Source organism: Homo sapiens, chromosome 11 (genome assembly GCF_000001405.40).
Source record: "Homo sapiens chromosome 11, GRCh38.p14 Primary Assembly".
NCBI classification, from domain to species: Eukaryota; Metazoa; Chordata; class Mammalia; order Primates; family Hominidae; genus Homo; species Homo sapiens.
The window spans coordinates 9,994,269-10,017,455 of record NC_000011.10 but is presented as its reverse complement, the minus strand read 5'-3'; the positions used below and the strand labels follow the sequence as shown (position 1 = coordinate 10,017,455).

At 39.0% G+C, this 23,187-nt stretch overlaps 1 protein-coding gene across 11 annotated transcripts in view; it reads left to right on the top strand.

The window, feature by feature from the left end:
- The window catches only part of SBF2 (SET binding factor 2), a 526,174-nt gene that overhangs the window by 287,386 nt on the left and 215,601 nt on the right, over positions 1–23,187 (top strand). For all 11 annotated transcript variants that reach the window (NM_001425069.1, NM_001425070.1, NM_001424318.1 and 8 more), the window contains 3 exons: positions 14,767–14,899; positions 16,434–16,542; positions 19,077–19,190. In NM_001425069.1, the coding sequence (NP_001411998.1) occupies positions 14,767–14,899; positions 16,434–16,542; positions 19,077–19,190 (356 nt within the window). The remainder of the gene's footprint in view (positions 1–14,766; positions 14,900–16,433; positions 16,543–19,076; positions 19,191–23,187) is intronic.

The window sequence follows — 23,187 nt, the reverse complement described above, 5'->3', positions numbered from 1 at the left end:
CTGGTTCAGTGAATGAGAAACCTCCTTTTTCATGACTTACATTAAGCTGTGACCAGAACTATACTGTTTTCCCCGTTGTGGGTTGGCCAGAAAGAACTATAATAAATTGTGCAGGGCTTTTTGAACTATATTCTGTTTTGAAACATGGTCTTCAGTTCCACTGTTTATCCATTTGAAAGCTGAGACATAGTCTTCTATTTGTGTAACATATCATTATTATTCAGAGAATGCAGGAGTCTGGAGAAAGTTCTTTTTTTCTTTCCCCAAAAAAGAAACAAATACATTTGTTAACATGTGGTGCAATGAATTTTAGAACTCTAACCTTTCAAGAAAATTGAGATCAGGAAGCCATCTTTCAGAATGTTTTACTCTTTGAATAATCAACAGGATGTATATGTATCATTGTAGTGAAATCGCTAGTAATTATCACTGGCATGTCTGTTTTTCATATTTTCTTCTCCCGTGTTATTGTGCAGCTTTGAATGGATGTTGGGCTACAGAAGGTGAGACAATTCAGTTATATAGAAAACTGATTTTGACTTACAAAATTAAAAGAAACTGGATTTCTCAATAGCTATGTAACTGTGAACACAGCAACAAACACTGCTACATAGGAATAAAAATCATTAATGTAATTTAAAATATTTGAGATTATTAATTATGTAAAACTTGCCAGGCACGGTGGCTCACGCCTGTAATCTCAGCACTTTGGGAGGCCGAGGCGGGCAGCTCACGAGGTCAGGAGATCGAGACCATCCTGGCTAACACGGTGAAATCCCATCTCTACTAAAAATACAAAAAATTAGCCGGGCATGGTGGCCCGTGTCTGCAGTCCCAGCTACTCGGGAGGCTGAGGCAGGAGAATGGCGTGAACCCAAGAGGCGGAGCTTGCAGTGAGCTGAGATCGCACCACTACACTCCAGACTGGGCGACAGAGCGAGACTCCATCTCAAAAACAATAATAATAATAATAATAATGTAAAACTTAAGAAAGCATGTGACATTTAAGAATAAAGAATTTAAGTAGTATTTCAATTAGGCTTGGGTAAATTGTTTTGTATTATACTATTAATTTTCTGGATAATGAAAAACTTACCCTTTAAGCACTAGAATATTGTTCCTATCTCATTTCTACATTATGAGACATATATCCTCTCAGTAAATATAGTATAGCATTGCCTCCCTTGACAATATCAACTGATTGTTTTTACTAATATGAGTAACGTAAAGTTCCTTACAACTGCAGGCCTCCCTTCTTCACAATTTATCTGATACTAAATGATACTGATTATGAATATTATTTTCTGATGAACTACTTGTAAATCGGTTATCCTTTTTTTGTGGGATAGGGCAGAGTGTTCAGATAAGAGCAAGGTGGGGGCCAGGCATGGTGGCTCATGCCTGTAATCTCAGCACTTTGGGAGGCCGAGGCGGGTCGATCACCTGAGATCAGGAGTTCAAGACCAGCCTGGACAACAAGGTGGGACCCCATCTCTACTAAAAATACAAAAATTAGCTGGAGTGATGGGGGGCACCTGAGGCAGGAGAATTGCTGAACCCGGGAGGCAGAGGTTGCAGTGAGCCGAAATCGTGCCATTGCACTACAGCCTGGTGACAGAGTGAGACTCCGTCTCAAAAAAAAAAGCAAAGAGGGACAAGTTTTTCCCCAGAGTCTTCATTTAAAAAGACTAGACTTGACATGACATACAGATTCTTCATAAATTTGTCTTTGGCCAAATTACTTGTAGGTCTGTTAATGCCATTTGCTTCCTCACTCTTCTGTCAGCTTTGAATGCTATGCTTTTCTTTTCTCCTTAACTAATGCATCTCTGTCAAAATCTACCTCAAGGGTCAGTCCCTTTAGGAAGCTCCCACCCCAGGTGGACCACGATAACCTCAGGAGTCATTAATAGGGTGGCAAAAGATTTACCTTCAGAGTAATATAGTATGACTGCTCATAGTCAACTTTGAAGATAGAAGGAAACCACAAGACAAGGAACGTGAGAAGTCACCAGAAGCTGGAAAATTTGATCACAGGACTTCCACAACAGTAAAATAATAAATTTGTCTTGTTTTAAGCCACCAAATTTGTGGTACTTTGTTATAGCAACCATAGAAAACTAATACATCCACAGACTTTAAAAAGTATCACTCTTTATTTTAAATAGTTTGACTCACAAGAAATAACTAAATTCATCCGGAGTCCCTATGTATGCAGTACCCACCTTCCTATAACAATATTTTACATAATCATAGTACATTATGGATACCAGGAACTGACATTGATACAGTATTATTATTTTATTATTATTATTATTGAGACAGGGTGCGTCTTGCTTTGTTGCCCAGGCTGGAGTGCAGTGGTGCAAACTCAGCTCACTGTAGCCTCGACCTCCTGGGCTCAGGCAGTCCTCCTACGTCAGCGTCCACCCAAGTAGCTGAAACTATGGGCACACACCACCATGCCTGGCTAATTTTTGTATTTTTTAGTAAAGACGGGATTTCACTGTGTTACCCAGGCTGGTCTCAAACTCCTGGGCTCAAGCGATCTACCTACCTCAGCCTCCCAAAGTGCTGGGATTACAGGCATGAGCCACTGCACCAGGCCTGGTACAGTACTATTAATTGAGGGAGGGAATGACACTTCCCTAAGTGTATCTTCTTGTATTATTTTGACTTCTGGTAGCATATTTGTGTCTTACATATATTAAAAAATTCAATTAGGATAAGAAGAAAGGAAAGAAAATATTACCTTAAAATTAAAAGCATATGTAAACAAACTCTACTGTCATTCAAATAATGTAACCACACTGAAGAGGGAAAAAAAACTAAGTTACTTTAGTAACTTATGAGTATTTGACTGTACAAACTCAGCTTTGGACAGTTTTGGGAAGAGAATTGCAAACAAATAGTGAACTCCATTTTCGTTTTTTTTTTTTTTTTTTTTTTTAGTTGAAATGGCTGAAACAATTCTGAAGCTCTTTTATGTGTAATACAGGATTTAGCAAATGAATAAGTATGTTGATGTTATTAGGTTCCAGCATTCTCAGTGGAAGAAGGAACATACAAATATGAATTGGGATAGTGAGGGATACCCTGTGGGGATGGAATGGAATTAAAAGTAATGGCATAGACTCAGGATTTCTCAAATACATATGCATGTATATGTTCTCATGTATGTATGTGTATGTATATATGTACATGCATATATTTCCTAGCTCCATCTATAGGCAAAAGTGGCCTAGAAGCAAAGTCACCCCAGTAGAAATGATCTAACACATGCCCTAACACCTAAAATTTTGGTCTTTGATACCATTTCTCACCAAAGAGAACCAGGACTCTTAGGAGAAATGGTTGGACTAGGGCTAGGACAGGGTAAGTACAATATGAGCCTGGAAAAATAAAAGAGCTCTGTCTCAAGGACACAGGAACTAAGTTAAAGGGCTCCTACTGCATAAATCTAGGACATGTTTAGCACCAGAAAAATTAAGGACAGTAGTGACTTACAGACTGTTAGGAAAAAGTAGATATTTATGAGTCCACACTGATAATGAATGAATGAATGAATGAGCAAGTAAGTAGAGGAAAAGGAGGACTCTGCTATGTAGAATGCCAAGTGCTGACTGGGAAATACAGAGTGAGTGCTGCATTTGGAAAATTATAATCATTATAGTAAAGATCTATTCAGGCAGAAATTATCAGTAGATGCTAAATCTAGCCAGGCATTTTGGTGAGAGATGAGATATTTACGTGGTCTTAAAGTGTCTTGATACAGATTGCTTTTTAGTTGCAGGAAAAATAATAAGTATTCATTGGAGAAATTGGACAGCATTGGACAAAATTTAGGAGACAAAATTAACATCACCAAAGACAGTACAAAGAGTTTAGCAAATCCTTTCCCCCAAAGAACCAGTATAAACTAGACAAAGTTGTTGAATACAACAATTTCAGGGCTCTGGAAATTGACCAAAAGCAAATGACAAATTTGGAAACATTTATTCATGCTAGAACTTTGTGTAAAAACAGCAGGAGTCTGCAGCATTCTTATCTGGTGGTTGCCCCCTCTCCCCTACATCCCAGCTTTGTCAGTGAGACTGGTAGTGGCAGAGTAGGGCTGGGTAGAAAACCAGCTTTGCTACCAGATGGAGTGGAATTTATTTGGGATGGAGGGCTAAAACCCATGGCATCATTATCGGTAAAAGTATTGAAACCAGTAGGAGATGAAAGGAGAAAAACGTCAGATGCCTGTCTGAATTACAGTCATAGTTGGGGCTAGTGGCACATCAGCCAGAAATTTAACAGAGAAATTGTGAAGAGGAGAAAGTCTTAGAAGAACTAGACAATGTCTCTATACATGCCTGGCTGCCTGGGAAACTATGCACATGTCTGAAACTGAAAGCATACTTAAAATCTGGCTAAACTATGAACGTGCTCCAACCCATGCAAAATTGGTCAGCAGTACGTAGAAGCTTTATTGGCTCAAGGTATTTGAGTACAACCTCTGCCCAAATTATGGACTGACCAAGTGAACCATGCAAACACAGGGATAACCCCTAGGAAGCCAAGCTAAACCATAAAAATAAAAAATTTTAAACCAGACATCAGCAGCCTAACATTACAAGCAGATTTTGCAGCTTAAAGCAGTGAGCACCCTCTCAAAGAAAAAAAAAAGCTTTCAGGAAAAAAATATAATTCAAATTTAGTGCAGTATATTATTTATAATGTCCAATTTTTACCAAAAAGCAAGAGGCATTCAAACAGTGAAGTGTAACCCATACTCAGGGGAAAAAAAAATAGTATTAACTGACTTTGAGCGCACATACTGGATTTAGCAGATAAGGACTTTAAATCAGCTGTTATAAATATGCTAAAAGAATTAATGGTAGCCATATTGAAAGAATTAAGACAAAATATAATGACAGTGGTCAAAAACCTAGGCAATTTCAGTAGTGAAGTAAAAACTGAAAAAGAGCCAAATAGATATTATAGATTGAACAGTATGATAACTGAAACAGGCCAGGCATCGTGGCTCATACCTGTAATCCCAGTACTTTGGGAGGCTGAGGCAGGAGGAGCTCTTAAGCCCAGAAGTTCAGGACCGGCCTGAGAAACATAGTGAGAACTCATCTCTACAAAATAAAAAACTAGCCAGGTGTGATGGTGCACCCCTTAGTCCCAGCTATGCAGGAAGCTGAGGTAGGAGGATCGCTTGAGCCCAGAAGGCTGGGGCTGCAGTGAGCTGTGATTATGCCACTGCACTACAGCCTGAGCAACAGAGTAAGACCCTTTCTCAAAATAAATAACTGAAACAAAAAATTCACTAGCTGAGCTTAACAGCACATTTGAGATGTCAGAAATAAAAATCAATAAAATTTGGTGAAAGACCAATAGAAATGATCCAATATAAAAAACATAGAGAAAAAGATTGAAATAAAAATAACAGATTCTCAGAGACCTTTGAGACAATAATACCTTTTAGGTACAGAGCATCTCCATTGGATGCATATGGGGGTGATTAGAAAAACGTATTTGAAGAAATAATGCTCAAAAACTTAGCAAAATTTGTTGAAATCATTAACCTGTAGACCCAAGAAGCACAATGAAGCCCAAGTTAACAGTAAAAAAATCCCCATGTAGACACAGCATGATTGTGAAACTGGTGAAAGGCAAACCCTTGAGAACAGCAAGAGAAAATAATTCATCTATATGAATCAATAGAACTATAATATTATTGCAGCGGGTCTCTCAACAGAAAGAACGGGAGCCAGAAGGCATTGATGTGACATATTAAAAGCACTGAAAGAAAAAAATACCAAACAAGAATTCTGTCACTGGCAAAACTGTCTTTCAGAAACAAAGATAAAATGAAGACATTTCCAAGTAAACAAAAACAGATTTATCGCTAGTAGACCTGCTCTATAAGAAATACAAAAGGAAGGCCAGGCGTGGTGGCTCACGCCTGAAATCCTAACACTTTGGGAGGCTGAGGTGGGTGGATCACTTGAGCCCAGGAGTTCACAACCAACATGGCGAAACCCCATGTTTACAGAGAAATACAAAAATTATCCAGATGTGGTGGTGTACACCTATGGTCCCAGCTACTTGAGAGGCTAAGGTGGAAGGATCATTTAAACCTGGGAGGCAGAGGTTGCAGTGAGCCAAGATCGCACCACTATACTCCAGCCTGGGTGATGGAGTGAGACTATGTCTCAAAAAAACAATAAAAAATAAAAACAAAAGGAAATCCTTAAGACTGCAGGAAAAAGAGACTAGTTAATAATTCGATTTCACACGAACAAACAACACTAGAAATGGGAAATCTGTGGGTAAATAGACTATATGTGTATTTTTTTATTTCTTCTCTTAGTTTTTAAAAAAGCATAAAGGAATCTCAAGCATTCCTATACACCACTAATAGACAAACAGCCAAATCATGAGTGAACTCCCATTCACAATTGTTACAAAGAGAATAAAATACCTAGGAATACAACTTACAAGGGATGTGAAGGACCTCTTCAAGGAGAACTACAAACCACTGCTCAAGGACATAGGAGAGGACAAAAACAAATGGAAAAACATTCCATGCTAATGGATAGGAAGAATCAATATCGTGAAAATGGCCATACTGCCCAAAGTAATTTATAGATTCAATGCTATCCCCATCAAGCTACCATTGACTTTTTTCAGAAAATTAGAAAAAACTACTTTAAATTTCAAATGAAACCAAAGAAGAGCCTGTATAGCCAAGACAGTCCTAAGCAAAAAGAACAAAGCTGGAGACATCATGCTACCTGACCTCAAACTATACTACAAGACTACAGTAACCAAAACAGCATGGTACTGGTACCAAAACAGATACATAGACCAATGGGACAGAACAGAGGCCTCAGAAATAACACCATACATCTACAACCATCTGATCTTTGACAAACCTGACAAAAACAAGCAATGGAGGAAGGATTCCCTATTTAATAAATGGTGTTGGGAAAACTGGCTAGCCATATGCAAAAAACTGAAACTCAACCCCTTTCTTAAACCTTTTAAAAAAATTAACTCAAGATGCCTTAAAAACTTAAATGTAAGACTTAAAACCATTAAAACCCTAGAAGAAGATCTAGGCAATACCAATACATAGGCATGGGCAAAGACTTCATGTCTAAAACACCAAAAGCAATGGCAACAAAAACCAAAATAGACAAATGGGATCTAATTAAACTAAAGAGCTTCTTCACAGCAAAAGAAACTATCAGCAGAGTGACAGGCAACCTACAGAATGCGAGAAAATATTTCCAATCTATCCATCTGACAAAGGGCTAATATCCAGAATCTACAAGGAACTCAAATTTACAAGAAAAAAACAACCTCATCAAAAAGTGGGTGAAAGATATGAACAGACACTTCTCAAAGGAAGGCATTTATGTGTCCAAGAAACATGAAAAAAAGCTCATCATCACTGATCATCAGAGAAACGCAAATCAAAACCACAATGAGATACCATGTCATGCCAGCTACAATGGCAGTCATTAAAAAGGAAACAACAGATGCTGGAGAGGATGTGGAAAAATAGGAATTCTTTTACACTCTTGTTGGGAGTGTAAATTAGTTCAACCATTGTGGAAGACAGTGTGATGATCCTCCAGTATCTAGAACCAGAAATACCATTTGACCCAGCAATCCCATTACTGGGTATATAGCCAAAGGATTATAAATCATTCTGTAAAGACACATGCACACGTATGTTTATTGCAGCACTGTTCACAATAGCAAAGACTTGGAACCCACCCAAATGTCCATCAATGATAGACTGGATAAAGAAAATGTGGCACATATACACCATGGAATACTATGCAGCTATAAAAAAGGATGAGTTCATGTCCTTTGCAGAGACATGGATGAAGCTGGAAACCATCATTCTCAGCAAACTAATACAGGAACAGAAAACCAAACACCGCATGTTCTCACTCATAAGTGGGAGTTGAACAATGAGAACACATGGACACAGGGAGGGGAACATCACACACCAGGGCCTGTCAGGGGGTGGGGAGGGTAGGGAAGGGACAGCATTAGGAGAAATACCTAATGTAGATGACAGGTTGATGGGTGCAGCAAACCACCATGGCACAGGTATACCTATTTGGCAAACCTTCACGTTCTGCACATGTATCCCAGAACTTAAAGTATAATAAATAAAAATATATAGAAAGCAATAAGTTTAACTGTTTTGCCGTTGTAACATATTTAAATGTTATATATGACAATAGGAACATATCCAGACCTCTGGATTAATGAGACAGTCCATGGGCAGTTCACCCTTGTGTGTGGTTTCCTTGAGGCATAAGATCGCAGTTCAAAAAGGGGATGTCTGCCCTGGAGCCTCTAGTCTAAATAAAATATCTCTACCCAAAAGGGCTATGGGACATTCTAGCAACACTAAAAATGAGTGAGAAAAGACAGTTCCCCCAGATAGGCAGCACAAAGGAGGAGTAAACCTCCTGGTTATGTGCACCGCATTTATCCCCATTATCTGGCAGGATTTGGAGGATAATTGCCCAGGAAAAGAGGTAAGCATTGAGAAGGCTGCTCCAGTGTCCAAAAGAAAACTTATAGTCCTACCTGCCACATGCAAAGCATTCCTTGGCTCTGTCCCTTCAATAGTGATGTTTGATCTGGGAGCCAGCTGGACTGTAGGCCCCCCTCAGCTCAAGACAAAGGATTCTCTCCCAGGAGCCCTCCAGCCCTCAGGGCAGTCCTATTTCCAGTTGCCAAGCTTGTGGTGGAGGGGGCAAGCCATGCAAGGCTTTTTCCCATCTGTCCCATTGATGCAGTTGGCCTTCCAGTGGCCTGGCTTCTCATACCAATGCAATTATTTGGGAAGATATTCCTAGGGCAAATTGGAGGGAGCTGGTGGACTTGTAAGACAGCCAATAGTTGGAGCTGCCACTTTTCCGTTTGCCTCTCCTTTTCCTGAGCCCTTTCTTCTTCCTTCTGGTCCTTGATGTAAAAGACCAAGGCAACTGTTTTGAGAACATCAGGCATAGGGGTATTGGGGCCCAGTGCTAGCTTTTGGAGTTTCCTCTGAATATCTGGGGCTGCCTGAGTTAGGAAACGGTCCTGTAGGACCAGTTGCCCTTCTGATGTCTCTGGGTCTAGGTTAGTATGTTTCACTAGGGCCTCTTGTAGCCTCTCTGTGAAAGTGATGGGGTTTTCAAGAGGGCCTTGATCTATTAAGGCCATTGTATTATAGTTCACAGCCTTTGTTCTGCTAGCTTTTATCCCTTCTACCAGAGGAACATGCGGTTTCTTCCCCATATACCTCCCTGGGTATTGTAATCCCAATTGGAGTCAACCGGAGGAACTGTGATGGCTCCTACAGGGTAGCCACCCGGGTCAGTCATATGCATTGGATTTGCAAATTGTTGGGCCACCTCCATAATGGAATCACTTTCTCCCTTAGACAGAATTTGCCCTAGTATGACTGAGAAATCCCTCCAAGTGAGTTCAAATGTTAATCCCAGTTTACAGAACCCTTTGATGTATTTGTCAGGGTCCTCCATAAAGTCCCATAGTTCTGTTGTAATTTGGCTCAGGCCTTACATAGTGAATGGAGTCTGGTTTCTAGTGGGTCCACTGGGGCTACTGACCTCTTGAAGGGGGCGTGACCTAAGAGGGTGGTGTCCAGAGGATAGCCCTGGATATGGAGGGGCTCCGGGCCTGGGAGACTTGAATATAATGAGGTAGAAGGGGCAGTGGGGTTTGAGCCGTCATCTTTTGCTCCTCTGGGGCTTGAAACCAGGGTAAACCCAATAAGGAGTGTCCCGAACCAGCCAGAGGGGGCTGCCTGACTATGGCAGCTATCATCACTAGATCCATTTTACAAGCCCAACAAAGGTCAGGGTTGTTTCATAGGGCTATGAAGGCCTGTACATAGGGGATTTCTATCCATATTCCCTGCTGGCGGCAAAGTAAATCTAGTTGATAGATCATATTAAAATTTTGGTTTTCTGTCCAAGATTCCTGGTCGTGGAGCTTGTATTCAATTCAGTCTGTGTTACAGAAAAATATTAGCCTTTCCCTTTTTAGGGTTTTGGAGTCAAACTTTTCCCAGTTCTTGAGAATGCATCTGAGGGGCGTGTTCTGTGGTATGAAGATGCAGTTACCCATCTGTGAAGAGAGAATAGATGAGAAAAAAAGAAAAAAGAAAGCGTCTTCTCTTCCTATTATCCTGAATAGGGCATCCCCTATTTGTCCTTAGGGTTCTGGAATGAGCTGATCTTACCATGTACCCTTAACTTCGGTACGCCCTTTTCACAGAGGAGATACCAGAGAGAACAGAGAGCCCTCTCCTGTTCATCCGTGCGGTTCCAGAATGAACTGGTCTTACCACGTACCCTTAACCTTGCCTTCATCTCTGTTATAATGATAATCTGTTAACCCGAGACCAGCCTTCATGTCTGTCGTATGGGTCTCTTGTGCCGACGGCCTTGGGCCATCCTATATTCTTGCCTCCATGACCTTCCAGTGACTCTCAACTTGGAGCATTCTTGCAACAAAATGATTATCCCTTTTCTCAGATTCCCATTTCCTTTGTTCTCTAACTAGACAAGAAGCTTGATTTTCAGCTAACTGCTGCAAGGGGGCTGAACTTCCCTCCCTTCAAATATGACCTTGAAGATTTTGATCAATATTGAGAAGGGCATGGAAGTGATTAGAGAAATGGAAGCTCCAGGAGGAAGTGGGAGGAAGCCAGAGGAATAATCATGGAAAGCCTTCTTATGCTTCCAAAAACAGCATCCCTTGGATTTGAGAGGGTAACATTTATTTGTCTTCTTAACATAAAGTGGTAACCTCTGGAGGACTTAGGGCTTGATGTAGGAACTCACAAATGGGAAAGGAAGAATTTCCCCTCCTCCCGAAGGGGTGCTAACTCAAAAAAAGCAAGTAAGTGGGGTCCTTAAAGGGCTAGAATGAGGCCCTATGTGGGTGGAAAACTACTTCAAAAGCCACCGGAAAACTCAGCCCTGGACCGTAACAGGAACAAAAAGCATATGGTAAGTCATAAGGAGCTGACTGGGGATCCAATTAGTGTCTGTCCTGGCAATGTACCAACAGACAGAGGCAGGATTAGAGGTCATCTGAGCTGGTAAGGTAAAAACTAGTGTTAAGTCTCTAGATAGCCACAAGGGAGCCCATGTTTTTGCTGCTGCACAAATTCAGCAAGAGCTGAGGGTGTACAAATAACAGTTACATGGCATGCAAAGTGAAAGCAAAAGAGGCTGACTTGCCTCGAGGTGGACGGTCCGGAGGGTGTACAAGGCCATTTCAGAATACATACAGAGAAAACAGGAGAATAGGTGGTGTGGGTTTTTGGAAAAGAGCCAATTTGAGTTGAAAAAGCAGAGGAAACCCCAGACATTGCATGGTTTTAGGCTTTAGCCCTACCACTCTCATGAACCTCTTGTCTAGGAGAGCCATTGTGTCTCAGGTCAATGATCTTACCTGGGAAGGACTCCAAGGTCCTTCCTACCCCTGTGAGCTACCGTACATCAGCAGGAGCTGAGAGATGAGCTTGAGGAACAGAGCCACTGTGGCCGAGAAGAATTGTTCTGGGGGTTGGTTAGTAAGCAGAAGAATGAAAAGAGCAAACGAAACTGTGTACAGGGGTTAAACACCTCCAGCCAAAGAAGTTGAGGCATAGAGATGTCTTACCACTGAGGAAGCATATTTGAGTCACGTGGCACCAAAGTATGTTAACATTAGGGAATGTATCCAAATCACAGCACCAAAGTATGTTACCGACAGCAAATCCATAGAGGTCTGCAGCAATCTCAATTCTTGCTTCTTCAGAAGAAAGAATTCAACCAAGGAGCATAAGGCAGAGTGAGAGACCAAGGCAAATTTTAGAGCAGGAGTGAAAGTTTATTTTAAAGTATTAGAGCAGGAATGAAAGGAAGTAAAGTACACTTGGAAGAGGGCCAAGCAGACAACTTGAGAGATCAAGTGCACTGTTTGAGCTTTGACTCGGGATTTTATATGTTGTCATGTGTCCGGGGTCTTGCATCTCTCCTCCCCAGATTCTTCCCTTGGGGTGGGCACTCCGCATGCACAAAGGCCTGTCAGCATTTGGTAGGGGGCACATGTGCAGTGTGTTTACTGGAATTGTACGCATGCTCACTGGAGGCTTTCTTCCTTTACCAGTCCAAATGTTCCTAGAGGGTCATATACCAGTTAAACTCTGCCATTTTGCCTCTTAACTACACAGGCATGAGCCCGCTCGCCAACTCCTGAGATTTTATCAGGAAGCTGCTGATCACCAGTTTCTGATGTTTCTGTCTGTTGGAAGACTGCCTTTCTGTGGCATCAGCTATGACCAATTATTATTTTAGAGAGACAGTTTAATAATCACCTGACCATCACCTGATGGTTGCCTGACATTCCTGGTGGTGGCATGGGGGTGGGGGATCCTCTCCTTCCCTGCTCATGTCTGGCTAGCTACCTGCTGTAACAGTGAGACATCAGTCAATATGCATAAGATGTACATTGGTTGGGTCTGGAAAGACGGGACAGCTCAAAGCAGGGGAGGGGGCTTCCAGGTCATAGGTATATAAGAGACAAAAGGTTGCATTCTTTTGAGTCTCTGATTAGCCTTTTACTGAATACACAATTTACATGTGAGAGGAAGATAGAGGAATAGTCACTTAAGCTTTAGTCTGGCTTAGTGAAACAATAGGGCAGAGGAAGAAATCAGATATGCATTTGTCTCACAGGAGTACAGGGATGACTTTGAGTTTTGTCTGTCCTTTGTCCACAAGGAATTTCCTTGTGGGCAGGTTGTGAGGGAGGTATGGGAGGTATGTAGTTTGTTTTTTTTTTTTTTTTTTTTTAATTTTTGTAGCTATCTTACTTAGGAATAAAATGGAGGTTGGTTTTCCTGGTGCAGTTCCTAGCTTGACTTCCCTTTGGCTTGGTGGTTTGGGGGTCCTGAGATTTATTTTCTTTTCACAGCTATATAATCATTGTGCACCTTACTACCCTCACTCAATATTATACTTGGGAGAGTTAGTCATGATAATACATACAATACTAGCTCATTCATTTCCACTGTTGTTTAAGTGTACCAAAACCTTAGTGGGTTTTTAAAATTCATGTTAAAGCCAAAAGAATATTTTTTGCAAAATTTGTAGCATTTATTCTTGTGGATTTAATATGAATTTTAAAAACCACTTGAAAATTGTATTTAGATTTCTTTAATCATTATTTAGTTTTTTTCCATTATTCTAGAAACTATCTGGAGGGTAGATTTGAAGGGAATAAGGACTGGATTAGGAAAATCACTTACGAAACTATTACATTAGTGAAAATGAATGAAGATTAAAATCTGAACTAAAAATTCTGATGTATCACATGGGATAAGTTGGAAGTGATAAGAGGGAATAGCAATTAATAATAGACTAAGGAAATTTGCATGTCACATGAAGAAATAAGCTATGATAAAGGGAAAATATAGTATTTTACCTTGAGAAAACAAATGGGGACTCTTGCTTTACCGGGTGTGTATGATTAAAGTTGAAGTGATATAAAGAAAGATAATTTGGTTCAGTAATAAACAGGAGAAAATAAGAAATGATATATATAACTTCAATTTCATAAGTATGTATATCGTATTTTCTAGAGTTGCCACTAAAAAAATAGAAAAAGAGTTTATAAATACCATACTAACAGAGGGGATGAAAGAAGAGACAGGAGAAATTGAAAAGAAGGAAAAAAGAGAAGATAGAAAAAATAAAAACCAGGCCAGGCGCGGTGGCTCACACCTGTAATCCCAGCACTTTGGGAGGCCGAGGCAGGTGTATCACCAAGTCAGGAGAGCAAGACCATCCTGCTTAACACGGTGAAACCCCGTCTCTACTAAAAATAGAAAAAATTAGCTGGGCATGGTGGCGGGCGCCTGTAATCCCAGCTACTCAGGAGGCTGAGGCAGGAGAATGTCATGAACCCGGGAGGCAGAGCTTGCAGTGAGCTGAGATCGTGCCACTGCACTCCAACCTCGATGACAGAGCAAGGCTCCGTCTCAAAAAAAAAAAAAGAAAAAAGAAAAAGAAAAAGCATAAAATAAGATACCACATTTATCTCTATATATAGTGTATATCTCAATAATTACAATAAGTATAGATGGATTAAATGAAATAGTTAAAAGACAAAAGTTGTCAGACTGGATTAAAAATATTTCAGTTACAGTCTCTGATTTATGTTCAATTTAAGATTTTTCAACTTTACAATGGGTTTATTAGGACGTAACCCTATCATTAAATTGCGGAGCATTTGTGTATGCTGTTTACAAGAAGTAGAGAAAGGTTGAAATTAAAAGATGAGAAAAGATATAGTAGGCAAATTTCAACAACAAAGCTGGTGTGGTATTATTAACGTCAGACAAACAGACTCTGCAGGGGTTAGTTTTTAGAACAATGCTAGCATTCTAAAACAGGAACCTAAATACAGGCCTTAGAGATGAAATTGAAAAGAAGGTAATAGTGTTTCCAAACAACTAATATGTTCAATGAGTGTTACCTGATTTGAAGAATAAAGGCAAAACTGAAAGTTTGGGAAAACAAATACTCATAGATTATATGGAATTTACAGTTTAACCAAGTATTTTCCTTCAGAGAGTCCAAAATTACTGGCTTTTTCTTTCCGTGTATACTGTCTATGATTGTTGACAACACATATAAAATTAAATGCATTTGTAAGTCCTTGCTCTTATGTTTTCAGGAATTCAAAATGTCCTCAGCCTCTTTTGTGCAGTCCTCACAGAAAATAAGGTTCTCTTCCATTCTGCAAGTTTCCAGAGACTTAGTGATGCTTGTAGAGCCCTGGAATCTTTAATGTTTCCTCTTAAATATAGGTGAGGTTTTCATTTGTTAATTTTATTTATTCCTAAACTACATATCACTTATCGTTGATAAGTCATAATGTTATGGCACAATGGTTTTGAACCACATAGGGATATTTTACAAAGTTATGCTGTTATATGAGTCATAGTTCTGATAAAATCTAGTCTAGAATTTGAGACTTTCCAAGTTGTCCATTACTGAATGTTGATTAGTGTAAAAATATTTAATTTGAATAGTATTGTCAGCAACTTTTAACACAATTGGCATAAATGTCTAGTCAATGCTATTTGATATTAAAGAATTATTAATTTTTAGAAGTTATAATGATAGAGATTCTATTAATAAAAAGCTCTTATCTCTCTTAGATACCCACTGAAGTGTATTATATGGGTAAACAATATGACATCTGGTATTTGCTTGAGAATAATACAGTAGAGAGAAAAAAAGTGGGTAGAAATATATATGTAGCCGTGCACTGGTAATTCTCAAAGTTGACAATTACTGCAGGGCTTCGTTGTAATTTTTTCCTCTGTTTTTTTTATGGGATATGTTAAAATTTTTTTCCTAATAAAAACTAAAAAACAAAATAAAATCTAAACAGTGATGACTAATAGTGCTGTAACTAGAATATTATACCTCTAATATACTGTTTAATCAATTGATAATCATAACATCTGGGAAATTAGTTCATATAAACTAGATAAAATTTTAGACTCCAGAATTTCTTTAAAAAAATTTTTTTGGCCAGGCGCAGTGGCTCACACCTGTAATCCCAGCACTTTGGTAGGCCGAGGCGGGTGGATCACGAGGTCAAGAGATCCATACCATCCTGGCTAACACGGTGAAACCCCGTCTGTACTAAAAAAATAGAAAAAGCTAGCCGGGCATGGTGGCAGGCGCCTGTAGTCCCAGCTACTGGGGAGGCTAAGGCAGGAGAATGGTGTGAACCCTGGAGGCGGAGCTTGCAGTGAGCCGAGATCGCACCACTACACTCCAGCCTGGGCGACAGCGTGAGACTCCATCTCAAAAAAAAAAAAAATTTATTTTTAATTTAGGTGCTTTTCTTAACTTTTTAGATAAGGTAATTATTGGCCCCCCCCTTTTTTTTGCCATTCTTATTGAATGCAAAAATCAAGTATAGAAAGTGGAATTTGAATGCTTGTTTTGTATAGATAAATCATTGCCTCATACTGAGAGGGGAGGCCCTATCAGAGAGTCAGTGTTACTGTCTAATGTCGGGTTTCTATGTAAGGAAAAATGCTTTCAAACAGTACTAGAAGACCTAAAGAGACTGCTTGCCTAGAAGAAACAAAGGTTAAGGAAGCAGGCTTGGATTCCATTTATTTTATGTCTTATATCTGATTGTATCTTTCACATGAAGATTTTTAAATCATTTTTTCCAAAATTTTAGTATTAAAAAGCATGAAAACATTATTGATAATTTCTAAACATAGGTAATATAAAACTTAACACAGCATAAAGATGAAAGAAGATATGTTTATGTTAAAGAAAAATATATTTGACGCATATTTTTATTATTTCCAGTTATCCTTATATCCCTATTCTCCCGGCTCAGCTACTGGAAGTTCTAAGTTCCCCAACGCCTTTCATTATTGGAGTACATTCTGTCTTTAAAACTGATGTCCATGAACTTGTAAGTATTCATCTTTAAAGTTTCCAGTTATTGAGTCCAGAAGTTTATCATATTTCTTTGGGTCCTATAACATTTCAACTCATCACTATTTTCAGATCTGTAGCATTTCCAGTAGAAAAGATTGGATAGAAGAAAAATATCATTGAAAAGTCTGTATATTAATTTTGCCATATAGCAAGTATAGGAGGTTTTATAAAGGAATTTATTAATATTTTTAAATATCCCTCTTTTGGTACATTGTTTATCTTTATTATTCATCTTACATATGACAAAAGATAAAATTCTATTTATACTTTTGATATTAGTGCATAATTGTTTTATATTTTGAAGTGAGACGTGTCTTGATACCAAATTCCTGATAACTAACAAAGCAGAAAGCATATGCAAAAGAGTGAAGAGTTTTAGTGGAACAGAAGTTTGGTATGAGCTTCCACGAAATTTTTGTATTCTTAATGCCATATGAATAGAAGAAGCAAAAGTATACTCTATATTCAAGCCAGTTCTGGAATAATTCATTTAGTTCTGTGTATCACACTTTATGAGGGACTGTAACAAAATAAAGCACATCAGAAAAGGACATCCAGGATTATCAAGTATTTAGAAACTATGTTCTGTAAGGGCCTAAGGAAATTTTCTCAGGTAATAATCTGATACTATTTGATAGGTAAAAGTAAGTATTTAAGTTACTGTCATAGAAGAAGGGTTGAGATTCATTTTTTGTAACTCTAAAAGGCTGAAATAAAATCAGTGGATGAAGTGGCTATAGAAACAGATTTCTGCCCAGTAAAAGTGTTTCCAACAATTAGAACTGCCTGGTTATGGAATGGATTTCCTTATGTGAGATGAGGAGTGTACTCTCAAGCACTGTAAGTAGAGTGTAAGGAAAAGATTATGTGACACTTTTCAGAGAGCCTGAGAAAAATTCTTCACTGTAAAGTTAGGCTGCATAGCATCTATGATCCACAGATCCCTAAGATTTTGTAATTCTTCTTCTGTTTTAGTTTTAAATGCCAGCAAAGAAGTAATTATAGTTGTAACCAAATCAGAGGTGTCATTTAAACTAACAAAATATTATTTAACATTATAATTATAAGCAGGACTTTCATTCGTATAGTCATCATTCTTTCTAACTTTATATGTTGATACTTAGTTCCTATTTAATTTTGGTATCACTGTATAAAAATATGTGTAAATCAATAAACATTTAATAAAACCTAATTAATACTAGTTAGAAGCATATCCACCTGGTTTGTACATAATTTTATTTCTGCTAAATATAAACAGTCACTGGAGGCCAGGCACGGTGGCCCACACCTGTAATCCTAGCACTTCGGGAGGCCAAGGCAGGCGGATCACCTGAGGTCAGGAGTTTGAGACCACCCTGGCCAACATGGAGAAACCCTGTCTCTACTAAAACTACAAAAAATTAGCTGGGTGTGGTGGTGCATGCCTGTAATCCCAGCTACTCAGGAGGGTGAGGCAGGAGAATCACTTGAACCTGGGAGGTGGAGGTTGCAGTGAGTCAAGATTGCACCACTATACTCCAGCCTGGGCGAGAGTAAGACTCTGTCTCAAAAATAAATACATACATACATACATACATACATACATACATACATACATACATACATACAGTCACTGGAGGTAGGACCAACCAAGTGTTGCCAAATAAATAAAAACAGTCGCTGGAGGTAGGACAAACCAAGTGTTGCCAAATGCAAATTTCTTAAAATCGTAATGAATAAATTAGAATGAAGTATAATATTGTCAATATAACAACTTCACTCATCTTGGTTGTTTTCTCTTACACTTTTATGTAAGTTATTTTTAAATAGACTTTTGTAAAATGCTAAAGATCAGCTTTTTCTAAGTGGCTAAACAGCACCCTTTTGATGTATACTAATTGTTAATTCTTATAATAAATACTAATTTTTTTAGAATATTACTAAACTACTTGAATAAAGTGTCTCAAATGCAATCCTCTGTGCTTGCTGCAGCAGCATATATAGTAAAATCAGAACAAAATGCAATGGCTCAAACAAAATAAAGTGTTATCGAACATTCATGCAGCAGTCCATAGAGATGTTCCATTATGCCAGACCAGTTTGCTCTATGAAGTCACTCAAGATCCAAGTTTCCTTCCTTCTTGTTTCTCCAACAGAATCCTCCCAGGCATTGTCATCATGTGTATGCTGAAGGCTGGTTTGCTGCCAGTTAATAATTTCAGTCTAAGGGAAAAGGAAAGACAGCATAGGAGAGCTTTACATATCCCCTGTCTTGAAGGACAGGAAAACACATGTCACTTCTCATGTTTTATTGGCAGAATCTTAGCCACATGCCACACTTAATTTCAAAGGAACCTGGGAAATACAGGGTAGGTGGGAACTTGTTAGCCCAGAATTCTACTACTATGGACAAACAAGAGTCTCTTCCACATCTGATTCTTCTCGTTTTGAATTAGTCAAGGGAAAAATAATTTGCTTAACAACAAATGTATTTTGGTAATTATAGGTTAATTTTTTTATCTCTTTCAGTTAGATGTAATCATAGCAGATTTGGATGGAGGCACTATTAAAATTCCCGAATGTATTCACCTCTCTTCCCTCCCAGAACCACTTCTACATCAGACTCAATCAGCTCTTTCTTTGGTATGACATATTTTTGTAATAGTAACTTTCTCTTTATTTAAATCTGAAGCTAAGATAGCTAAAATTAAAAATGTTTGTCAATGCAGTTTGTTACTTTAATTTAAAGAGAGCTATATATTTGAAACATGAACATAATCTCATACAGTATTTAGAATTCTTCATTTACTAGGTAGTTATCTAAAGCATATATTTTGGATCCTAACTGAATATTTGTTCTACATTCCTTCCTTCATTCAGCATACAGGACCTAGTACTGTCCTAGGTATTGGAAATTCACCTTTGAAAACAAGGCTCTGCCTTGAAATCCCTGATTCCCCTAAGATCCCCCATTAGATGTTGGCTTCTCTTCTCTAACCTCCCTATTGGCATCTCATTCCTCTTTGGTACCTACAAAACACTGTAATATTGTCTTGCCAATACTTTCAGGTTATTACAGAAAGATGTGTCATATTGATACATAAAGTGTCCAAAATTCATTCTTTTTTTTTGAGACGGAGTCTTGCTCTGTCGCCCAGGCTGGAGTGCAGTGGCACGATCTGGGCTCACTGCAAGCTCCGCCTCCCGGGTTCACACCATTCTCCTGCCTCAGCCTCCCGAGTAGCTGGGACTGCAGGCGCCCGCCACCACGCCCGGCTAATTTTTTGTATTTTTAGTAGAGACAGGGTTTCACTGTGTTAGTCAGGATGGTCTCGATCTCCTGATCTCGTGATCTGCCCGCTTTGGCCTCCCAAAGTGCTGGGATTACAGGCGTGAGCCACCGCGCCCGGCCCAACATTCCATTCTTAATGCCATATGAATAGAAATACCAAAGAAGAAGTATATGCTACATTCAAGCCAAATAAAGCTTTAAAAAATCTTGTGGCTTGGGTTTTTCTCATTGAAACAAATTTAAATTTTTTTGCAGTTATTTTACCTTAGCCAAATTTTGAAAACAGTATTTTGTTTTACTGATAGCCTTTTAGGTGCTTATGATCAGAAAATTGAACTGTAGAAATTCTGCATTGCTTTTCAAGATATCACTAGAACTAAGGCCTTAATAGTCTACTTTAAGAATATTTTATTCTGGGCTATTTAAAACATTTTTTCCCCTCTTAAATAGAAACTTAGAAGCCTAGGATTACCAGGAGGGATTTTATTCTCAGAAAACTTTCAAATTTGTGTTAGTCTTTTTGTTATCATGGTGGTATCTATGAAATGGGAACAGTTAGAGAAGACTGACTTTTCCTTATATAATTTGTAATCTGAAATGCAAGATGTGATAGAGTGCAAAAGACACTAGTGTGGGATACAGGATACCTGAATTCCAGTCTGTGTTCTGCCACTTGGTATTATTGAGAATCACATTTTTATCTCTAGGCTGTCTCCTGGTCTTTACCTGTAGGTTGAATGTTTTTACAGAGATGACTAGGTGATTGTTTGCCAAAATGAAGCATGGTGATGATTTGGGGTAATATGTGGTCAACCTTTTTTATTTTAATAATTATGTTTTTATTATAATGTGTACTTAAAATAGCATATAGAACCTGTCATTGCTCAACTATCATCTAAGAAAATACTGGGTTTAAGAAGGCGAGTTTGGCAGGGTGCGGTGGCTCACGCCTGTAATCCCAGCACTTTGGGAGGCCGAGGCAGGCAGATCACGAGGTCAGGAGTTCGAGACCAGCCTGTCCAACATGGTGAAACCCCCATCTCTACTAAAAATACAAAAATTAGCTGGGCGTGGTGGCGCACGCCTGTAATCCCAGCTACTCAGGAGGCTGAGGCAGGAGAATAGCATGAACCTGGGAGGCGGAGGTTGCAGTGAGCCAAGACTGCGCCACTGCACTCCAGCCTGGGTGACAGAGCTCGACTCCATCTCAAAAAACAAAATAAACAAAAAAAGAAGGTGAGTTGATTTAAAGACAATTTAAAGAAAAATATTAACTACATAATTGCATAGATGGTATATGGATATAGCAAAAGCTGAGAAGGTAGTATTTGAATGACTGAAGAAAGTTTAATGTTTCTAGAATTCCTACAGTGATTAAATCTTATGTGTGGTTACTTACTAGTGATATGAATAGTTATTTAGGGGTTAAGTAGCAAAATTAACAAAGATTAAGATTGTACTTCTTAAGCCAATGGCTCCTGGTAAGGGTTCTGCTGCATACTCGTATACCTAAACCTGCAACACCCGTGCCACCAAATTTGATCAATGTGTAAAATTCCTTTTTGGTAAAACTGAGTATACGTATTGTTATAGTTACTAAGCACAGTGGTGGATTAGATACTACTTAATGTACTGTGAATAAGAAATAGGAGCATACGGCCGGGTGCGGTGGCTCATGCGTGTAATCCCAACACTTTGGAAGACTGAGGCGGGCGGATCATCTGAGGTCAGGAGTTCGAGACCAGCCTGACCAACATGGTGAAACCCCGTCTCTACCAAAAAAAAAAAAAAGACAAAAAATTAGCCGGGTGTGGTGGTGCACACCTGTAATCCCAGCTACTCAGGAGGTGAGACAGGAGGCTCACTTGAACCCAGGAGGCGGAGGTCGCAGTGAGCCGAGATCACGCCGTTGCACTCCAGCCTGGACAACAACAGCAAAACTCTGTCTCAAAATAAAAAAAAAAAAAGAAAAGAAAAAAAGAAATAGGAGCATAATGTATTGTCAAACTAGACCAAAAAGAGACTAAATTTCATGGATGATTGGGAGCATTGACACACAAGTATATAAGCTTTGTTTCATTCGTAAATAATTATAATCAAATGGCAACACTGTACTTAAACTGTGTAATATGGATTATTTTGTAGACACTAAGATATTTTGTACTGTGGTAGTGATTCAGTGACTTGAACTGCCAATATTTTAGTGTTGCCTTTAAGTGTTGCTTTGAGTCTTTTGGTCTATTCTCAGCATAGCATCAAAAATCTTAGTAGTTGAAAATGATTCTGCAAGAAGAAAATTTGCTACATACTGATATAATTTCATCTTCTCTGTGCAAGTCCTTCACAGGTCCTTCTTTCCCAGATGCTCCCCAACCTGCTTTCCTTCAAAGCCTAACTCAAATGTTACTTTGTTTTTTGTTTAGTCTTCCCTAAGTTGAATTAATTACACATTTCATGTATTGCACTTTATATATTTTTGCACTTCTGTGACATAGTTTTATACTTTCACCTGTCTAGACTGCAAAGTTCAAAATCTTATTTTCTGTCTCCTCAGTAATTTTTATTTTTTTTTTTTTGAGACAGAGTCTTGTTATAACTGTCGCCCAGGCTGGAGTGCAGTGGTGCGATCTCAGCTCACTGCAACCTCTGCCTCCCAGGGTCAAGCTATTCTCCTGCCTCAGACTCCCAAGTAGCTGGGACTACAGGCATGTGCCACCATGCCTGGCTAATTTTTGTATTTTGAGTAGAGACAGGGTTTTACCATGTTGGCCAGGCTGGTTTCAAATTCCTGACCTGAAGTGATCCACCCACGTTGCCCTCCCAAAGTGTTGGGATTACAGGCGTGAGCCACTGCACCTGGCCTCTCCTCAGTAATTTTTAATTACACTTAGAAACATAAAAACAAGCAGCTGTTTTTAAAAATTCAACTATATAGACAAATAGCTCTGGCCTAGATTATTCCCTTACCAGAAATGACTACTATTTTATAGTTTAGTGTATTTTTTTCAGAACTTTTCATTTTCATATATATATATATATGTACATATATAGATTTAGGGTTTATTTTGTTTTATTTTCAAATAAATTAGGCCATACTATGTGTATTTTTCTAGAACATGTTTTCTTTTCTTTTTTTTTTTTTGAGATGGAGTCTCGCTCTGTCGCCCAGGCTGGAGTGCAGTGGCGCAATCTCGGCTCACTGCAAGCTCCGCCTCCCGGGTTCACGCCATTCTCCTGCCTCAGCCTCCCAAGTAGCTGGGACTACAGGCGCCCACCACCACGCCCGGCTAATTTTTTTGTATTTTTAGTAGAGATGGGGTTTCACCGTGTTAGCCAGGATGGTCTCGA